Raw genomic sequence first — 18,424 nt, 5'->3', positions numbered from 1 at the left:
GTGTAAAATAAGCAGCTCCACCAATACCAGCATTTCCTGATACAGATGCTACCGTTTCCAGCCAGATTTACCATCCTTAAAAATTATGTAATTCAACCTTTTAAAGTAATGATTAATTTTAAAAAAGGTTTCCATTTACATGAAATAATTTGCCTTTTGCATCAGTCTTTTTTCTCTTATTTGTGTCTCATTTCAGATGACTGTTTAGGTTGAAACATAAAATTAGACATCGGTCATCGCAAATGTACCTGATGTTTAACATCATGCACCGTCAGGACACTCATTAGTGATACCTGAACTGATCACGTTTCATGAAATCCAAACCTTTCACACTGTCTTTCAAAACGGTCATCTCCCAATCCTAAGGCCAGGGCCCTGAGGCACCCCCGCCCCGGCTGGGGACACTCCGTACCTGGACTCTCTCTGTTGCTGTTGGCCACAGCTGCCGGCACAGGACTTTCTTGAGGACGTCGGGAAGGAGGCTGATGGTCACCAGCAGCACGATGGCCAGCCAGGCGGGCCCGCTGGACAGCATCTGGATGAACACGTAGTACATCCTCTGGTAGTTGAGGAACGGCCTGAGGGGCAGGGAAGAGAAGCCGCTGGTGAGGCATGTACTCCCTGGGGCTGGCCTCTCTACTCACTGGAGAGGCCGTCTGTTCAGGGAGTTTACACTTTTGTCAGTGAGAGTTGCTTGGCAAGCCACGGAGCCTGCTCTGAATTTATCATATAAAAAATGAACACTGAACCTCCCGGTAATGCTGGGGTAAGAGGAACGGGAGAAGGAATTCTATGAAGTCATCTCAAATGGGACATAGAAGTCTCTGAAGTTCAGTTTCACAGAAGCAAAAAAAAAAAAAACAAAAAACAAAACACAAAGGGATTGAAATAGGGATGTTTTTCTATCTTGAAGTCTCGGATGGGAAGGACGTCCCGAGCACTGGTCGTCAGTACAGAGCAAGCAATGACTTCTCTCCCCAGAAAGAGGATGATTCAAAGACGTCTGCGTCAGCCTCCATGAGGGAGGCTGGCAAGGATGCAGGGACCAGTGACCCGCAGCCAGCCCGAGCCCACAGGTCCACGTCTATACGTGCCTTCCGGTAACGTTTCCTGATCGCCTTTCACATCCCAGGCACTACGGATGGTGGCAGAGACACAGAGATAGGGCCCCAGCTCCAGGAAGCACAGTGAAACTGGTGTGTGGACAACAGGAGGGAAACGGAAGCAGGGCATGGTGGGTAACGGGAGGGACACGCAGCTGCTGGCAGACCTGGGATGGGGCTGGGGGCACCCACGTGGTGCTGGTGGCGGGCAGGAGGATGGGGTCTCATCACCAAGCGGTGGTGACATGGTGAGCTCCCAGCACATCAAAGACGTGGGGTCAATGTTTTAGGAAACAATGTGAGAGGCTGTGGTTCTACCAAGGCTGACGGGCTGTGGCTCCTTGGCTACAAAGCCCAGGAGCTGGTCAGAGAGGTTTGGGATGGAATCTTCCTCTTACAGAGCCATCGCCTTCAGGGCTGTTAGAATGGCCGGGCTCTCCAGAGCCGGGCTGGGCTCTCTAGAGCTAAGCAGGTTTCTCTGGGGCTGACAGGGTGCCTGACACCCTCCAAGCTGGGCTGTCATCTCTGAGACTGTGTAATGCAACTTGGGGCCACCAGGGGCCGCTGGCTGAACGAGAGAATCCGGAGGGACTCTTCCTGGGCTGAGAGTCCCGCCCAGGTCAGGGGCCCTGAGGGATCCTGAGTGGGTTGCTGGCTTTCCCTAGGCCGGCTACTGACCCCAGGTCTGCAGAGGGCTGTGGCAGAGGCTGCTGCGCTGGGGCTGAGACTGGGACCTGGCCCTGGGCCCATACCACTCAGCGTCGTTTCCTGGCTTACAGCGACAGTCTCTAGACTGACCACCCTGCCTATGTCGCTCTCACCAGCTCAACACGCAGCCACCGTGGGGTTTTTAAAAGAGCCACTCAACTCTGCTGTGCTCTGCCTCGACTGACCACGACAGCCTCGAGCCAGGATCCTCACGGCCGGCGGTCCAGGAGGCCACCATGCCTGCTCTGCAGCCTGGTCCGGGCCCCTCTCCGCTGGCCACGGCTCCCACTCACGGAGGACCTCCTCCCGCCCGGGCCTGCGTGCCTGCTGCTCTCCCCCAAACCAGAGGCTCCCCGATGAGTCAGGCTGCTGCGGGCAAGGTCCAGCCCCACCATGCCTGGGCCCCATCTTGCTGCGGGGCGTGAGGATGGAGTGAGACAGGACCTGTCGAATGCCTGGCCAGTGCCTCGTTGTGGGAGGCGGTTACCAGCTGGGACTTGCTGTGATGATGGCGCTCTTCTTCCAGGTTTCAAATGACTGTTTCTGAAAAGTCACCTCTGGCCTTTCAATCTGACATGGGTCCCCTGGTGCGGAATCCTGGTCTGTTCCTCCGTATAACTCGTCACAAGCTGTTATCAGTTAGCGTCTTTCTCCCCCGGAAGATGCAAGTCACCGGAGCAGGAACCCCCCGGTGTCTTGCCCCCGACTGTATCCCAGGACCCCACGACACCCAGCACACAGCAGCCATTCAACAAACACTTGCCCCAACCAACAGGGCCGCACGGAAAATGTGTCTTCAACCCTTGATAAAAAAATAACAACCACATGATATTTATCAGATTATCAGCTACTTATCAGATATTTACCAGATCACTCCTCCCCAGAGAAGCGAAAAGACAACGTAGAACAGCAGCGACCCCCAGATGACAAAATGGTTGATCCAAGTCCAGTAGTGTGTGTCCAATGCAAGCTAAAAGGAAAAAAAAAAGGGCAGTTAACGGTGTCATCTGAGCAGTGAGAATGATCGTGATGGGCAGGACAGAGAGCCGGGGGGTGACGAGAAACTAAACCAAACGCAAGACCCAGCAATGACGACTCAATGCCTGCAAAACACGGCTCAGGAAGACAAAGCCACACCTCACACCGCTCAGGAAGACAAAGCCACACCTCACACCGCTCAGGAAGACAAAGCCACACCTCACACCGCTCAGGAAGACAAAGCCACACCTCACACTGTTCAGGAAGACAAAGCCACACCTCACACCGCTCAGGAAGACAAAGCCACACCTCACACCATTAAGGAGACAAAGCCACACCTCACACCACTCAGGAAGACAAAGCCACACCTCACACCGCTCAGGAAGACAAAGCCACACCTCACACCACTCAGGAAGACAAAGCCACACCTCACACCGTTCAGGAAGACAAAGCCACACCTCACACCATTAAGGAGACAAAGCCACACCTCACACCACTCAGGAAGACAAAGCCACACCTCACACCGCTCCAGAAGACAAAGCCACACCTCACACCGCTCAGGAAGACAAAGCCACACCTCACACCGCTCAGGAAGACAAAGCCACACCTCACACCGCTCAGGAAGACAAAGCCACACCTCACACCGCTCAGGAAGACAAAGCCACACCTCACACCGTTCGGGAGACAAAGCCACAGCTCACACTGCTCAGGAAGACAAAGCCACACCTCACACTGCTCAGGAAGACAAAGCCACACCTCACAGTGTGAGTGGAGAGGAAGAATGTGGGGACGCCACAGCCCTGGGTCCTAGGTAAGGGAGCCATGGATGTATTTCCCAGATGGCAGCATGCGGGCCACAGACCAAGGTGTTGTTTATATCGTCACCGAAGAAAGTCATTCAGATTAAGGTGTTCTTTATGTCTCTACTGAAGAAAGTTACTTCTTAAAATTTTTTTGAGACAGTCTCGCTCTGTCGCCCAGGCTGGAGTGCAGTGGTGCGATCTTGGCTCACTGCAACCTCCACCTCCCGGGTTCAAGCGATTCTCGTGCCTCAGCCTCCCAAGTAGCTGGGATTACAGGCGCGTGCCACCATGCCCGGCTACTTTTTGTGTTTTTAGTAAAGATGGGGTTTTGCCATGTTGGCCAGGCTGGTCTCGAACTGCTGACCTCAGGTGATCCATCCACCTTGGCCTCCCAAAGTGTTGGAACTACAGGTGTGAGCCACTATGCCTGGCCAGAAAGTTACTTTAGAGTCAGGTGTTGTTTACATCACTATCTAAGAAAATCACCTTAGGAATGTTTTGGTATCACTTTTTAAGACTCAGTCTGATAGGTTTTGAGATTTCATAATGATATATTCTGTATATAATTTCACTGAACTTTAAAGAGTGAAATTTTTCAAAATACATTAATTTGTTTCAATTAAAGTGTATTTTGATGGCGCTGGGGGGAGGGCTACTTGCCACTGAAAACAATTCTAGCCTGAATTCTTTCACAAAGAAGCAGCTTGCTCCCGAGGTTACCTCCGGTGTAGCTCTGGGGTTTGCACATGGGGTGGCCGGGTGTGCTGAGTGGCTGTGCATTACTTGTCTAAACAGCAGGACAAGGATGCCCAGGGGTGCCCCAGGAGCCAGCCAAGGCTGGGTGGAGAGTGGCTTCCAGCCTCAGTACAGAGTTATAATTCAGAGAGCTCAGAGCGCGTGAGGCCTACACTGCAGGGGTTCACTGTGGCTGGGGGAGGAACGTGAGCGCGAGACCACTTACCTTTAGTGTAACTGTGAACACCATCACGGTGAATACCAGCGTTCCAAACGTCCAGTTTCCAAATATCTGTTTGGGGAAAATAGTCCAAGTCATCTCGTTTTTATGTATTTTTTTTTCTCTTTCACAATCAAGAGTTTTAGAAAATACACCTCATTTTTCTTGTGTGCCAACACTTCAAACCCCAAAGATATAAGCACTATATTTTCTTATTATCCCGTAAAAGAAGATGCAGCAACTCCCCAGAGCACGGCAGGACGCCCCCATTTCCCGGCTGCATCTCCCACCACCAGTTCTGTGGCTTGGTGATGGGCTCAGAGCCTGCCTATCTGCAACTTGCTGCCCGCTCCTGACGCTGGCCCTGCTCAATGCTCTCAGCCACAACAGACGTCCCAAGGTCTCAAACTGAGCACAAAAACTCCCTCACAGCTGGCATTTAAATATCCATAATGCAAACTCGGGTACACGCAAACCTCCTTTTTCTGTTTTGTGTTTTACGTAGAAAAGACAGTTGCCTGAGTACCCAGCTACATTCCACGGGTTTCAGGAACAAACTCACAGACTGTGTCTGTTCCCTTCTGAACTCAGCTCAGACTCCTGCCTGCTGTTGAAGAACAGCGGCGGGAACGTTCTGCGAGTAAATGCAGAGGAAACACCCCAGGCACCCATGCAGAGGGGGAAGCCTGGGGGCTTCCCTCGGGGAACCTCCCTCAGGACAGAGAAGACAAGCCGGCAGACAGGACAGGGCTGGACAGAGGCTGCCCCGCGTGCGGCCAGAACCACAGATCCGCCAGCAGTGGTGCCCAGGTGGCCGTGGAGGAGGGAAGGTCAGTGGGACCCACGAGCTGCCAGCTGGCAACGCAGCACAGACACAGACACACCCGTGAGGACCGCGTGCCCGACCCGTGAGGACAGCACGCCTCTCTACCGCACGAGGCACAGGCCAGAAAGGGCTGCTGCCCAGACCACCCCCCGCCTTGGGGAAAACCCCCGACTGGAAACTTGTTTCGGGAGAACCTGCTTTCCTTTGGGACGCTCCTGCGCTGTGGCCCAGACGATTTCTAGTTTATCGGATTCCATGAACTGCACCTCGCAGGGAATTTTATTTTATAAAGAATTAAAAAGCGGGCCGGGTGTGGTGGCTCATGCCTGTAATCCCAGCGCTTTGGGAGGCCGAGGTGGGCGGATCATGAGGTCAAGAGTTTGAGACCAGCCTGGCCAACATGGTGAAACCCCGTCTCTACTAAGAATACAAACATTAGCCGGGCGTAGCGGCGCCTGCCTGTAATCTCAGCCACTAGGGAGGCTGAGGCAGGAGAATTGCTTGAGCCCGGGAGGCGGAGGTTGCAGTGAGCAGAGATCACGCCACTACACTCCAACGTGGGCGACAGAGCACAGACTCTGTCTCTTAAAAAGCTGGAATACAAATGGCTGTTCTTCAGAATTCAGTTTCAACCAAAACAACACACCCATCACCATACCCCTTGATTTAGCTGAGGGAGGGTGTGGGCTACAGTCCTCCCACATGGTCAGTGGGATAACAGGATAACATCTCATTTGTAGATTATAGAAAAAAGTGTTAGGACCTTTTGTAGTGAACACCGCTTCTTAGGGGCCCCCATCAACACATCCTTCAGTTTTTCCCTCACTTCCTCATTGTGATCAGAAGTGGGCCTCCTCCTTCTGGCTTGGAAATGCCTGGCCTACAGTGTCACTCAGATCTACACATGCTTGTGGTTCTCGGCTGGGGCAGCCTTGCCCCCAGGGACACCTGGCCGTGGTGGAGACATTTCTGGGGCGTGGGGTCTGCTAGCTTTGGATGGGGGGGTGGAGGGGCTGCTGAGTGCACACGACAGTGGCCCACGAGGATGTACATCTGGCCCCAATGTCAGCAGAGCCCGGGTGAGAAGCCTGTTTCACACTCACCAAAAAGTGCCGTCTCTTTGTGGCTTAACTTCTGGGGCAGGAAAATATCATGCCTCTAGGAACAGCTGTGGCTTGGCAGCAGCCTACAAGCACATGTGGCCAGCAAGGTGCTGGAGGGCGGGAGGCTGCTGTGCTGTAACTGGAAGCTGATGCTTTCAGCCAAGTGGTGCCTCCACAGCAGCTGAGGGCGGCTTTGCACCCAGACAACCACATCAGCTGGGCCTGGAGGAAAAGCCCCTGACGCTGCCCAGCTCTCCTCTTCCTCCCCCAGGCCTCACCTTGGCCATCCCAACACAGAACTCTGAAAGAGTTAGATGGCAGCAAGACATGAACTCAAGGGTGCCCTGTGAAGCAGTGTGTGTCACCAACAGCGCCACAGGTGATAACTGCAGTCAACTCACACGGCCTCCTCACTGTCCCCTCTCCCTGCTGTGAGCCGAGAAACTGCCTTTCTAAGCTCCCAGCTGGGGCTCCCTGGGTTTAGGGGGTAATGGCAGAACTGGGATAAGGAGTTAGGCCTCAGGATGCCTGGTCCTGCAGAGCACATGGGCCACAGCTGTAAGCTTTATAGGTGAGGAACAAAGCACAGCTATCGTGAATCCAGAATCAGGCACCTTGGTCAGGGCCCCTGAGAAACGCTGACCCATTACTAACCTGTGTCCACGTCCTTTGGAAGCTAGTCCACTGTGGAGCTATCCTGAAACGCATCTCTGGAAAGCCCTCTTATTCCCTTGGTGGCCTGAAGTGGGGCCCCCAGGTGAACTGCCATGATGTGGTTTGGCTTTGTGTCCTCACCCAAATCTCATCTCAAATTATAATCCCCGTGTGTTGGAGGGAGAGCCTGGTGGGAGGTGACTGAATCATGGACGTCCTCCTTGCAGATCTCGTTGACGGTGGGCGAGTGAGTTCTCATGAGATCTGGTTGTTTCAAAGTGTGTAGCATTTTCCCCTTTGCTCTCTCTCTCCTGCAGCCTTGTAAAGAAGGGCCTTGCTTCCCCTTTGCCTTCCGCCATGATTGTAAGTTTCCTGAGGCCTCCCCAGCGATGCTTCCTATGCAGCCTGCAGAACTGTGGCTCGATTAAACCTCTTTTCTTCCTAAATCACCCTGTCTCAGGTAGCTCTTCAGAGCCATGTGAAAATGGACTAACATGTGCGGATAGTTTATTACTACAATTGCTGGTCGTTATTTCCATCAGATTCTGGGGGTGGCAGGCATCCCTGGGATACCAATCTCCTTTTTCAAAGGGCTTTTCACAGGGACCCTTTTCTTCCAAGTGACATCAACGCCATCCCCAGTGAAGCTCCTGTTTCTGATTTCTGTGGAACCCTGTCCTCATGTGACAGGCACATCTCAGCCAAGAACCTGACCAGTGCGAAAGCCTCACTCCTTCAGCAGATCTGCCTCTGGGGCTGGCCACCCTCCACCACTGCAGGCTAAGCCCCATGCCCCCACTTCCTCCCTCCTTTGAGAATGGGTATTCCTATAGAAGCTTTCTGCTCAAAAAGTCCTCAGACCAGACCCATTTAACTCTGATGTATAAAAACATCCACGGCCAGCATAACTTGCGCCTTCTCAAGGTCACGGTCATGAGTGGCATCCACTGCCTCCCCTCCCTGTGCAGATCCCTCTGCCTCCCACCTGGCCCATACGCGGACCGCTCGTGTTTCAGCTGCTCTCATCGCATCCTACGTCTATCAAAGCACGTTCCGAGCTTTTAACCGTTCACTTAGGAATGTCTTGCTGTTCAACAAATAACTGTTGTCTTCGCATTCTCATTTGTGGCATCAAAATGAGAAGTTACTATGGCTTACGATGTCAGTGCAGAAAATGCTCCATTGGTGAACTTTTGAAAGAGATGTCCATAATTCTATTGTTCCTCCAATCCTACACAGGATCTATAGATATTCCTATAGAATAATTTAGGTCTTTAAAACAAAGTAGCTCTCACCCAAGAACAATCAATCCCAGAGGGCCTCTGAACTGTAACCCCGTTGGGAGTATCCTGGTTGGAAGGGAGATTCTCAGGGGTGAGCACCCCAACCCCAAATTGCTACGTAAGGACCAAGAGGGCTGTCAGCCACTAGGACTGCCCCCAAGTTCCCTGAGTGCTGGCATCACCCCGGGGCTGCACGCGGGTTCCGTGGGGGCTCAAGGTACCTTCCAGGACATAGCCAGGGGCTGGAGGGTACAGCCGGAAGAGACCAGGAAACAGGAGCTAGTAGAAATCCTCGGATCCCAGGAAGGCAGCAGAGCCACAGTGCCCACTGACCACCAGGTGCAGCTGACTGCGGACACGCCAGGGGTCCAGGGATCCGAGAAGGCGGAGACGCTGCAGAGACCCTGCCAGGAAGGCTGAGAGAAGCCCCTGGCACTGCGTTGCCAGCACCTCATTCAGGAGCACAGCCGGGCTGCCCTCCTAGGACAGTGGCGCCCGTGTCCTTGCCCCTGAAGTCCATCTCCGGGGGCTCTTGGGAGGCACGTTCACATTCACGCTGAAATTTGGAACTAGAGCAACCCAGAGGCCGCACTGGGCAACACCATGAAGTCTGGAGCCGGACGTCCGGGTATGACCCAGGCCCTGCCTCTCGGGAGCTGACACCGCACAGGGTGTCTAGTCTGTCCGAACTTCTCTTTCCTCAGCTTTCACATGATCTGAACGTCCAGCTGATAGGGTGGTTGTAGTGAACCAGGGTGGTGTTTGTGAGAGAAAACTGGAAAATCAAGTGTGGGAAAAAGGGGACTTGCTATTGCCATTGGCAGCCGCCAGGAGCCTGGAATCTCAGTGCTCAGGACACTACCTCTTAGTTCTCTCTTAAGGGCTACGCGAGATGCTTACGTAAGCCCAACTCGGAAGAAAATCTCATAAAAGATACAAAAGAATCAACAGGTAGCTCTGTTTGATGACGTTCATGGCCTGGTGGCATTCAGGAATTATTCAATTAAAATAAATGAAGACAAAGAATAAGTTCTAGAAAACTTAAAGCTTTTAAAACAGTGAAATAATATTTGAATTGGTTCTCAAGATAGACCTGGTAAAAACTGATTTAAGTGATGACGAAGGATAACAGCAGTGTTTAGTAAAGAGGAATGAAAACGACTAAAGCAGGTAAATGGTGCACAGGACACATAGCAGGACTTTTGTGTTTGAACCCAGCAGTCTGAGGGACAAACACACAGGGAGAGAGAGGTCAGGCTAAACAAGGAACGAAGCCGATTTCTGTTTAGAAGTCACCCAGAAGGGGCTGCTGAAGAGGGACTTTCTCCGAGGTCAGCGCTGGTGTCTGCTTGTACGGCTAGTTAAATACCTGAGGCATTTAAGCAGGGATGGTCTCTGACATCTACCGAATGCCTGGTGTGGCTCTCTCAGGAAGCACAGGGCCCCACCGGGCCTCCCACACATGCCTGTGCTGCCTTTAATTTAAAATCGAGGGAAGCTCCCATGAATCCAGTCAATTCGGAAAACATCCCTGGCTCAATGGGCCACCCTGACATGGCAACCGAGGGAACACAGCAAGGATGTGCGTCAGGAGGCGCACACACCCTTCTAACACAGAGCTAGCTCTGGGGTGTGTGGGGCAGCAGCGGCTAACAGCGTTTCTACCGACAAAGCACACAGGAATTCACGTTTGAAAATATTTTCGAGAAATATTTCATTTGTAATGCACTCCAAAAACACAGAGAAACGACAAACCCATGATTGTCTTACCATATGTGTGTTGGTAGTCATTATCTGAGGGTGGGAAGGGACGCCAGTGGCAAAAAGAAAAAAGCAAGATACAAATAAAACAAACCCCCAGGGGTTAGGCAAACAACCAGAGAGTGAATGTCTGCTAGAAAACTACAAATCTACTCATCACAGAGGAAGACGACTAAGTATGGTACTCGGGGAAATCTAACACGGGCTCAACGTGGAATTCATTCCCACATCAAAAATGCAATGTCTAAATGGTATAATGGTACCACTAGGTAACAAACTGATGGTGAACTGTTAGTTACAGAGATAAAGTCTGAAAACCTCAGCAGGCTGGCCGTGCATGGTGGCTCACGCCTGTAATCCCAGCACTTCGGGAGGCCAAGGCGGGCAGATCACCTGAGGTCAGGAGATGGAGACCATCCTGGCTAACACGGTAAAACCCCGTCTCTACTAAAAATTCAAAAAGTCAGCCAGGCGTGGTGGCGGGCGCCTGTAGTCCCAGCTACTTGGGAAGCTGAGGCAGGAGAATGGCGTGAACCCAGGAGGTGGAGCTTGCAGTGAGCCAAGACTGCGCCATTGCACTCCAACCTGGGCAACAGAGCGAGACTCCGTCTCAACAACAACAACAAAAAAACAAAAAAAAACTTCAGCAGGACATTTCCTTACAGCAACACTGAGCACTCAGGTAATGCGATCTTTAAAGTGACCCAGAGCTATGCACATGTGGTGATGGACCCCGCTGAGAAGCTGCATGGCCTGCACTGAATTACTGCACATGTGGTGATGGACCCCGCTGAGAAGCTGCATGGCCTGCACTGAATTACTGCACATGTGGTGATGGACCCCGCTGGGAAGCTGCACGGGCTGCACTGAATTACTGCGCAGGTGGTGATGGACCCCGCTGGGAAGCTGCATGGGCCGCACTGAATTACTGCCCATGTGGTGATGGATCCCGCTGGGAAGCTGCACGTGCTGCACTGAATTACTGCGCAGGTGGTGATGGACCCCGCTGGGAAGCTGCGCGGGCCTGCACTGAATTACTGCGCAGGTGGTGATGGACCCCGCTGGGAAGCTGCATGGGCTGCACTGAATTACTGCCCATGTGGTGATGGATCCCGCTGGGAAGCTGCACGTGCTACGCTGAATTATTGCGCACGTGGTGATGGTCCCCACTGGGAAGCTGCGCGGGCTGCACTGAATTACTGTGCAGGTGGTGATGGACCCTGCTGAGAAGCTGCATGGGCCGCACTGAATTACTGCGCAGGTGGTGATGGACCCCGCTGGGAAGCTGCGCAGGCCTGCACTGAATTACTGCGCAGGTGGTGATGGATCCCGCTGGGAAGCTGCATGGGCTGCACTGAATTACTGCGCAGGTGGTGATGGACCCCGCTGAGAAGCTGCATGGGCCGCACTGAATTACTGTGCAGGTGGTGATGGACCCCGCTGGGAAGCTGCACGTGCTGCACTGAATTACTGCGCAGGTGGTGATGGACCCCGCTGGGAAGCTGCATGGGCCGCACTGAATTACTGCCCATGTGGTGATGGACCCCGCTGGGAAGCTGTATGGGCCGCACTGAATTACTGTGCAGGTGGTGATGGACCCCGCTGGGAAGCTGCATGGGCCGCACTGAATTACTGCGCAGGTGGTGATGGACCCCGCTGGGAAGCTGCACGGGCTGCACTGAATTACTGTGCATGTGGTGATGGACCCCGCTGGGAAGCTGCATGGGCTGCACTGAATTACTGCCCATGTGGTGATGGATCCCGCTGGGAAGCTGCACGCGCTACGCTGAATTATGGCGCACGTGGTGATGATCCCCGCTGGGAAGCTGCATGGCCTGCACTGAATTACTGCCCATGTGGTGATGGACCCCGCTGGGAAGCTGCATGGGCCGCACTGAATTACTGCGCAGGTGGTGATGGACCCCGCTGGGAAGCTGCATGGGCCGCACTGAATTACTGCCCATGTGGTGATGGACCCCGCTGGGAAGCTGCACGTGCTGCACTGAATTACTGCGCAGGTGGTGATGGACCCCGCTGGGAAGCTGCACGTGCTGCACTGAATTACTGCGCAGGTGGTGATGGACCCCGCTGAGAAGCTGCATGGCCTGCACTGAATTACTGTGCAGGTGGTGATGGACCCTGCTGAGAAGCTGCACGTGCTGCACTGAATTACTGTGCACGTGGTGATGGACCCCGCTGGGAAGCTGCATGGGCCGCACTGAATTACTGCGCAGGTGGTGATGGACCCCGCTGGGAAGCTGCACGTGCTGCACTGAATTACTGCGCAGGTGGTGATGGACCCCGCTGGGAAGCTGCATGGGCCGCACTGAATTACTGCGCAGGTGGTGATGGACCCCGCTGAGAAGCTGCATGGCCTGCACTGAATTACTGTGCAGGTGGTGATGGACCCTGCTGAGAAGCTGCATGGGCTGCACTGAATTACTGCGCAGGTGGTGATGGACCCCGCTGGGAAGCTGCGCAGGCCTGCACTGAATTACTGCGCAGGTGGTGATGGATCCCGCTGGGAAGCTGCATGGGCTGCACTGAATTACTGTGCAGGTGGTGATGGACCCCGCTGAGAAGCTGCATGGGCCGCACTGAATTACTGCCCATGTGGTGATGGATCCCGCTGGGAAGCTGCACGTGCTATGCTGAATTATTGCGCACGTGGTGATGGACCCCGCTGGGAAGCTGCATGGGCTGCACTGAATTACTGCGCAGGTGGTGATGGACCCCGCTGGGAAGCTGCAGGGCCTGCACTGAATTACTGCGCAGGTGGTGATGGACCCCGCTGGGAAGCTGCATGGGCCGCACTGAATTACTGCGCAGGTGGTGATGGACCCCGCTGGGAAGCTGCATGGGCTGCACTGAATTACTGCGCAGGTGGTGATGGACCCCGCTGGGAAGCTGCATGGTTTGCACTGAATTACTGCGCAGGTGGTGATGGACCCCGCTGGGAAGCTGCATGGGCTGCACTGAATTACTGTGCAGGTGGTGATGGACCCCGCTGGGAAGCTGCATGGGCTGCACTGAATTACTGTGCAGGTGGTGATGGACCCCGCTGGGAAACTGCATGTGCTACGCTGAATTACTGTGCAGGTGGTGATGGACCCTGCTGGGAAGCTGCATGGGCCGCACTGAACTACTGCACAGGTGGTGATGGACCCCGCTGGGAAGCTGCATGGGCTGCACTCAATTACTGTGCACGTGGTGATGGATCCCGCTGGGAAGCTGCGTGGCCTGCACTGAATTACTGCGCAGGTGGTGATGGACCCCGCTGGGAAGCTGCATGGGCTGCACTGAATTACTGTGCACGTGGTGATGGACCCCGCTGGGAAACTGCATGGGCTGCACTGAATTACTGCGCAGGTGGTGATGGACCCTGCTGGGAAGCTGCACGGGCTGCACTGAATTACGGCACATGTGGTGATGGACCCCGCTGGGAAGCTGCGTGGCCTGCACTGAATTACTGCGCAGGTGGTGATGGACCCCGCTGGGAAGCTGCATGGGCTGCACTGAATTCTGCTTTGGCAAAATCATCATATGGGCTTGGGAGGCTTTATTCCTAAGCAGCTAAGTCAGCGCAATCGAGCTCTGTACTGACCTGCCCGTTGCTTGTCACAGTTGTATTTTCAAACACGAAATAAGCACCAAAGAAGAACACCAGTGCGTCAAACAGTCCCAGGAGCGTCCAGTAGATGAACACGCGCCAGCGCAGCAGGGCATTCTTGGCGACGTCCCTGGTGAGGAGAAAGGTGCACAGCGTGTGTCCTCGAGAATCAGGGCCCGGCACCTCCCCCAGGCTCTGGGGTGGCCATCCCTGGACGTTGTCTTCATGGGATAAGATGTGCACGGCCAGTAAACATCAAGTTTGTGCTCTGGCCACAAATGTGGCATGTTCATCACAACCAGCATTTCACTACCCACTCATGTCCTTGGCTAACTTTTGCTCAGATATTTTCTCTCTCATATTCACTGCAATATCGTCATAGGCACAGAGATGCTGCCACATGCTGCTGCTTCTGAAAGCAACGAACAGAGAACACAAGGCACACCCCTGACGTTCACCGAGCTTGTGACACCTTACGCCTGACGTGACGCCTTACGCCTGACGTGATGCCTTACGCCTGCTGTGACACCTTACGCCTGACGTGACGCCTTACGCCTGCTGTGACACCTTACGCCTGACGTGACACCTTATGCCTGTTCAATAAGACAGAATTTGCAGGATTCCTTTCAGACACATGTCTAGAACAGTATATCTTCTCCCATTTTCTTAGATTTATTCCCATTTTCTTTAGATTTATTAAAGATGCCTGTTCAATAAGACAGAATTTGCAGGATTCCTTTCAGACACATGTCTAGAACAGTATATCTTCTCCCATTTTCTTAGATTTATTCCCATTTTCTTTAGATTTATTAAAGATGTACAACCAACTCAGAAGTTTGCCTTTTTATCATCGTCCTTAATCACCTACAGTGATTACTTTTGGATCCAAGCCGTCAAGATCCCACAGAATGGCTAAATATTCTGATGAGGGCAGTGAGGCCGATGCACGGATTCCTGCAGAATCCCAGGCAGGGAAGTGAGTGGTCTTGGCTATGGTGGTGGATGCAGGAAACACGCATGTGAGAAGACTGCACAGAATTGAACACACACATACACGTGTCATGTACACACATGTACGTAAGTGCAGGGAAAGCTGGGTGATCTGAATAAGGGAACGGGTGAACGGCACCAACATCAGTACACTGGATGTGATGCTGGACTGCAGTTTCTTGCGTGTCACCACTAAGGGACATGGGATCAGGGCCCACAGAATCTATTATTTCTTACAACTGCATATGGATGTAAAATTATCTGAAAAATAAAATTTTAATTTATGATAGGGTTTGGCTGTGTCCTCACCCAAATCTCGTCTTGAATTGTAGCACCTATGATCCCCACGCATCATGGGAGGGACCTGGTGGGCAGTGATTGAGTCATGGGGGTGGTTTTTTCCCATGTTGTTCTCGTAATAGTGACTAAGTCTCACGATATCTGATGGTTTTATAAAGGAAAGTTCTCCTGCACACGCTCTCCTGTCTGCCACCATGTAAGACGTGCCTTTGCTCCTCATGCCTTCCGCCATGATTGTGAGGCCTCCCCAGCCATGTGGAACTGTGAGTCCATTAAACCTCCTTCCTTCATAAATTACCCAGTCTCAGGTATGTCTTCACAGCAGGATGAAAATGGACTAATACAATTTAAAAGACCATGGAAAACAGTAACATATTGAATCTGCCAGAGACCTTGGGGGGCATTTCTGAAATAGCAGAAAAATATCTCTTCCATATTATTTTTAAAAAATAACGGGGAGAAAAGACACCCTGAAACCAGAGCTGTTAATTTTTGTTTTTTCTCACTGAATGGAACACACATGGTTTTAAAGGATAACTTAGGCCACAGATTCCCTAGGGTCACAACGAGGAAGACGCTTGTACCCCAGCTCCCTCAGGACTGTCAGAAAGCACAGGAAAGTGCAAACTGGCTCCACACAGATGTTCCAAATGCAGCATAAACCATCCAGCAAGACTTGAAGAATCTCCATTTGAGCTATGTTGCTTCCAGTTTAAACAAGCTCCTGATCAAGCAAGAATATCAGCAGATGCCGAATGCTTCTGGCCCTCAACTGAGGTCTGCCAGGTGGCTATTGGAAGGAACTGCCAGAGTGCTGCCTAGTTACTCTCTCTGCTCTCAGGAGAGGCTGTTTGGAGGATGGTACCTGTACAGGGTCGGGTCTCTCTTGAGCACGTCAATGCCAACATGCTGCTCCATGAGGCTGTACAGGAGGATGGGGAGGGAGGTGAAGCTGATGTTGTAGAGGGTCAGATACGCGGTGTCGTACAAAGTCTGTAAGAGGAAAGTCACAAGAAGTGGCACCTCAGTGCATTGTTACAAACTTTTTGGATCTTTTGATTAAATATATTTTCTTTCTGAAATGCATAGAAAGACCAGAGCGCTTTTCAAAGCTTAACAATATAAACTAGGGTCTGTGATATCAACTGTGATTTCAGGATGAAAGTCACAGCTGGCAAAAAGCCTAACACTGACTCATCCCATTCTATCAGCACAAACTTCAAGAAAAAAAAAAAAAAGGAAAAAAGTCACAGAAAACATTTGCAATTCTGATTGCCATCTTCAAGCTTCAGTGACTCTGGTCGCAGTCACTTCCCATGAAGGCAGCTGGCCCGCCAACCACTGAGCACACATGTGACAGAAGGAGGTGTCCATCTAGGGCAGATGCCCGGGGAGTCCTTCACCCCTCCCGGATGGGAACTGTCTTCTTCCCCTATGGGCACGTTGCATGTGTTAACGTGCCAGGCACCGGGGTGGCCCATGTCCACAAGGACCTCGAGTTGGAGTTAATTCTTGCAGTGGCATCAGGATGCCCAGCCCAGCACTGCTGGGCCCTGAGGAGACCACATCATCACTGGCCCGCATCTCAGGGCCACGGCAGTTTCAGAAGACATGGAACAAGGGGCCTCCAGGACGGCAACTCCTCAGCTCCGTGGCCCCCCTCCCCAGGCCCGACCCTTCACCCCCGCCTGCTGCTGGGCACCCTGGCTCCCTCGTGGTGCCGGGGAGTGCTGCTCATTCCCAAGTCTCCCCTCCCCACAGCAGCCACCCACTGCGGGAAGGAAAAGAAGGCTCAGACAGCCTGTCCCTGAAGACCCTAGGACTGACCTGTTGTGAAAACCCACAGAAGAACTGGTATAAAAACTGAGGGAAGATGAAGCAGACGTTCTGAAAGGCAAGGCATAACTGTTAGTTCGGTGACGGGACAGAGGGAGGCAGCCGCCACCTACCGACGTGGCCCACCCCACATGGGAGGAGGGATCCACGTGCACCCAGCGTGCGGCAGAACAGCACTAATGGGTTCTAGAAAGCTTTCTCTTATTTCAGGGGCAACTGAAATGCACATGTGACCACGTTTTGGCCACTCAGGACAGACAACGTATAGAGGAAATTTGTCAGCTCCAAGAGAAACAAGAAGGCAATGCAGGTATCAGTATAAACGGGAAAGAATCGAACTGCACAGTGAATAAGGAATCCTTCCTCAAACATTTCCACCTGAAAGGTTCTCACTGGTTCCACACTCAATTCTGTGGGGGGAGAAAAGGGCTGGGGGTCTCCTCCCGCGGCACGGCAGGCCCTCCTCATCCTCAGGGGTACATTCCCAGACCCTGGGGGGATGCAGAGTCTGCGGATGGTCCTGAACCCTGTCTATGCTCTAGATGGGTATGTGTGTTCGTATACATACACACCCATGATAAAGTTTAATTTATAAAGTAGGTGCAGTGAAAGAGTAACAACAAAACATAGAATAACTATAATAATATACCGTAATCAAAGTTACATGAATTTGGTCTCTCCCTCCTCCTCTTAAAATATATTATTGTGTCATATTCACCCTTCTTCTTGTGATCTGTCAACCTCATCACCAAGACAGCTACAGAGTGACTGAGGGGCAGGTAGTGTACACACAGCATCGGCACACCGGACAAAGGGACAAGCCACATCCCAGGAAGGAGACAGCAGGACGGCGTGAGACTTCATCACGCTGCTCGGAATGGCATGCAATTTAAACCTGAGGAACTGTTTATTTCTGCAATTTTGCGTTTGATATTTTTGGGCATGGGTTGACTGTAGGTAATGGAAACTGTAAAAAGCAAAGTCACAGCTAAGCAAGAGATGACTGCAATCAGATTCACCCCTTCCTTTCTGACAGTTGCTGCTCCTCGGAGATCAATGACCTCTTGTGGCATCAAGTGGCTCAGACAAGGGTCGTGCCACCCTGTGCGTGACCTGTTGCTAACACCGTGAGGGGGAGCGGCGACCCTCCTACCTTATAGAAGAAGTACTGCACGAGCTCAGAGATCCTAATGTAATAAAAATGCCCGTGAACAAGCAGCATCTTCTTCAAATGCTTAAACTTTGGGATTGCATAGTCGCTGTTCCTGGCAGCCTGGCGGCCTTCCTTGCCGATGACACCTAGAAGACGGAGGTGAAGGAGCTGAAGAAATGCTTTCTGCACACCACACACAGGGCAGGGACGGGGAGAAGAACGGATGAAACCATCATCATGAGCCTTCCCGGTCACACACGAGGGTGGTGACGGGGGTGTCCTGAATGCACCTGCGTGCTGCCATGGGCCTTTGTCTAGCGAAGGGGTGACCTGGCCACCAGGATGTGCCAGCAGCAAGGAC

At 52.6% G+C, this 18,424-nt stretch overlaps 1 protein-coding gene across 12 annotated transcripts in view, besides 6 other annotated features; it reads right to left on the bottom strand.

Moving 5' to 3' along the window:
• ATP11A (ATPase phospholipid transporting 11A) overlaps positions 1-18,424 on the bottom strand; it is a 197,131-nt gene that overhangs the window by 10,815 nt on the left and 167,892 nt on the right. For all 12 annotated transcript variants that reach the window (NM_015205.3, XM_011537480.3, NM_001405663.1 and 9 more), the window contains exons 22-28: positions 18,064-18,209; positions 16,902-16,961; positions 15,940-16,067; positions 13,779-13,914; positions 4,554-4,619; positions 2,678-2,781; positions 413-578 (exon numbers count right to left, since the gene is read on the bottom strand). In NM_015205.3, the coding sequence (NP_056020.2) occupies positions 413-578; positions 2,678-2,781; positions 4,554-4,619; positions 13,779-13,914; positions 15,940-16,067; positions 16,902-16,961; positions 18,064-18,209 (806 nt within the window). The remainder of the gene's footprint in view (positions 1-412; positions 579-2,677; positions 2,782-4,553; positions 4,620-13,778; positions 13,915-15,939; positions 16,068-16,901; positions 16,962-18,063; positions 18,210-18,424) is intronic.
• Positions 933-1,122: a silencer, noted in NCBI's record as "fragment chr13:113529546-113529735 (GRCh37/hg19 assembly coordinates)". NCBI's record gives its function as "represses an EF-1alpha promoter that drives an FKBP-Casp9 reporter gene in an ReSE screen in K562 erythroleukemia cells {active_cell/tissue: K562}" and the evidence as "EXISTENCE:reporter gene assay evidence [ECO:0000049][PMID:32094911]".
• Positions 2,684-3,183: an enhancer, noted in NCBI's record as "NANOG-H3K27ac hESC enhancer chr13:113527485-113527984 (GRCh37/hg19 assembly coordinates)". NCBI's record gives its function as "activates a minimal SCP1, AML or CMV promoter by ChIP-STARR-seq in naive H9 embryonic stem cells {active_cell/tissue: H9 hESC(naive)}" and the evidence as "EXISTENCE:reporter gene assay evidence [ECO:0000049][PMID:30033119]".
• Positions 2,684-4,024: a biological region, named in NCBI's record as "CDK7 strongly-dependent group 2 enhancer GRCh37_chr13:113526644-113527843".
• Positions 2,825-4,024: an enhancer, noted in NCBI's record as "CDK7 strongly-dependent group 2 enhancer chr13:113526644-113527843 (GRCh37/hg19 assembly coordinates)". NCBI's record gives its function as "activates an origin of replication core promoter dependent on BRD2, BRD4, P300/CBP, MED14 and CDK7 cofactors, with strong dependence on CDK7, by STARR-seq in HCT116 cells {active_cell/tissue: HCT116}" and the evidence as "EXISTENCE:reporter gene assay evidence [ECO:0000049][PMID:35650434]".
• Positions 3,013-3,062: an enhancer, noted in NCBI's record as "active region_8036". NCBI's record gives its function as "activates an Ori minimal core promoter by ATAC-STARR-seq in GM12878 lymphoblastoid cells {active_cell/tissue: GM12878}" and the evidence as "EXISTENCE:reporter gene assay evidence [ECO:0000049][PMID:35858748]".
• Positions 3,184-3,685: an enhancer, noted in NCBI's record as "NANOG-H3K27ac hESC enhancer chr13:113526983-113527484 (GRCh37/hg19 assembly coordinates)". NCBI's record gives its function as "activates a minimal SCP1, AML or CMV promoter by ChIP-STARR-seq in naive and primed H9 embryonic stem cells {active_cell/tissue: H9 hESC(naive and primed)}" and the evidence as "EXISTENCE:reporter gene assay evidence [ECO:0000049][PMID:30033119]".

The sequence above is a fragment of the Homo sapiens genome, chromosome 13, assembly GCF_000001405.40.
Source record: "Homo sapiens chromosome 13, GRCh38.p14 Primary Assembly".
NCBI classification, from domain to species: domain Eukaryota; kingdom Metazoa; phylum Chordata; class Mammalia; order Primates; family Hominidae; genus Homo; species Homo sapiens.
This window is presented reverse-complemented; position numbering and strand designations above follow the sequence as displayed.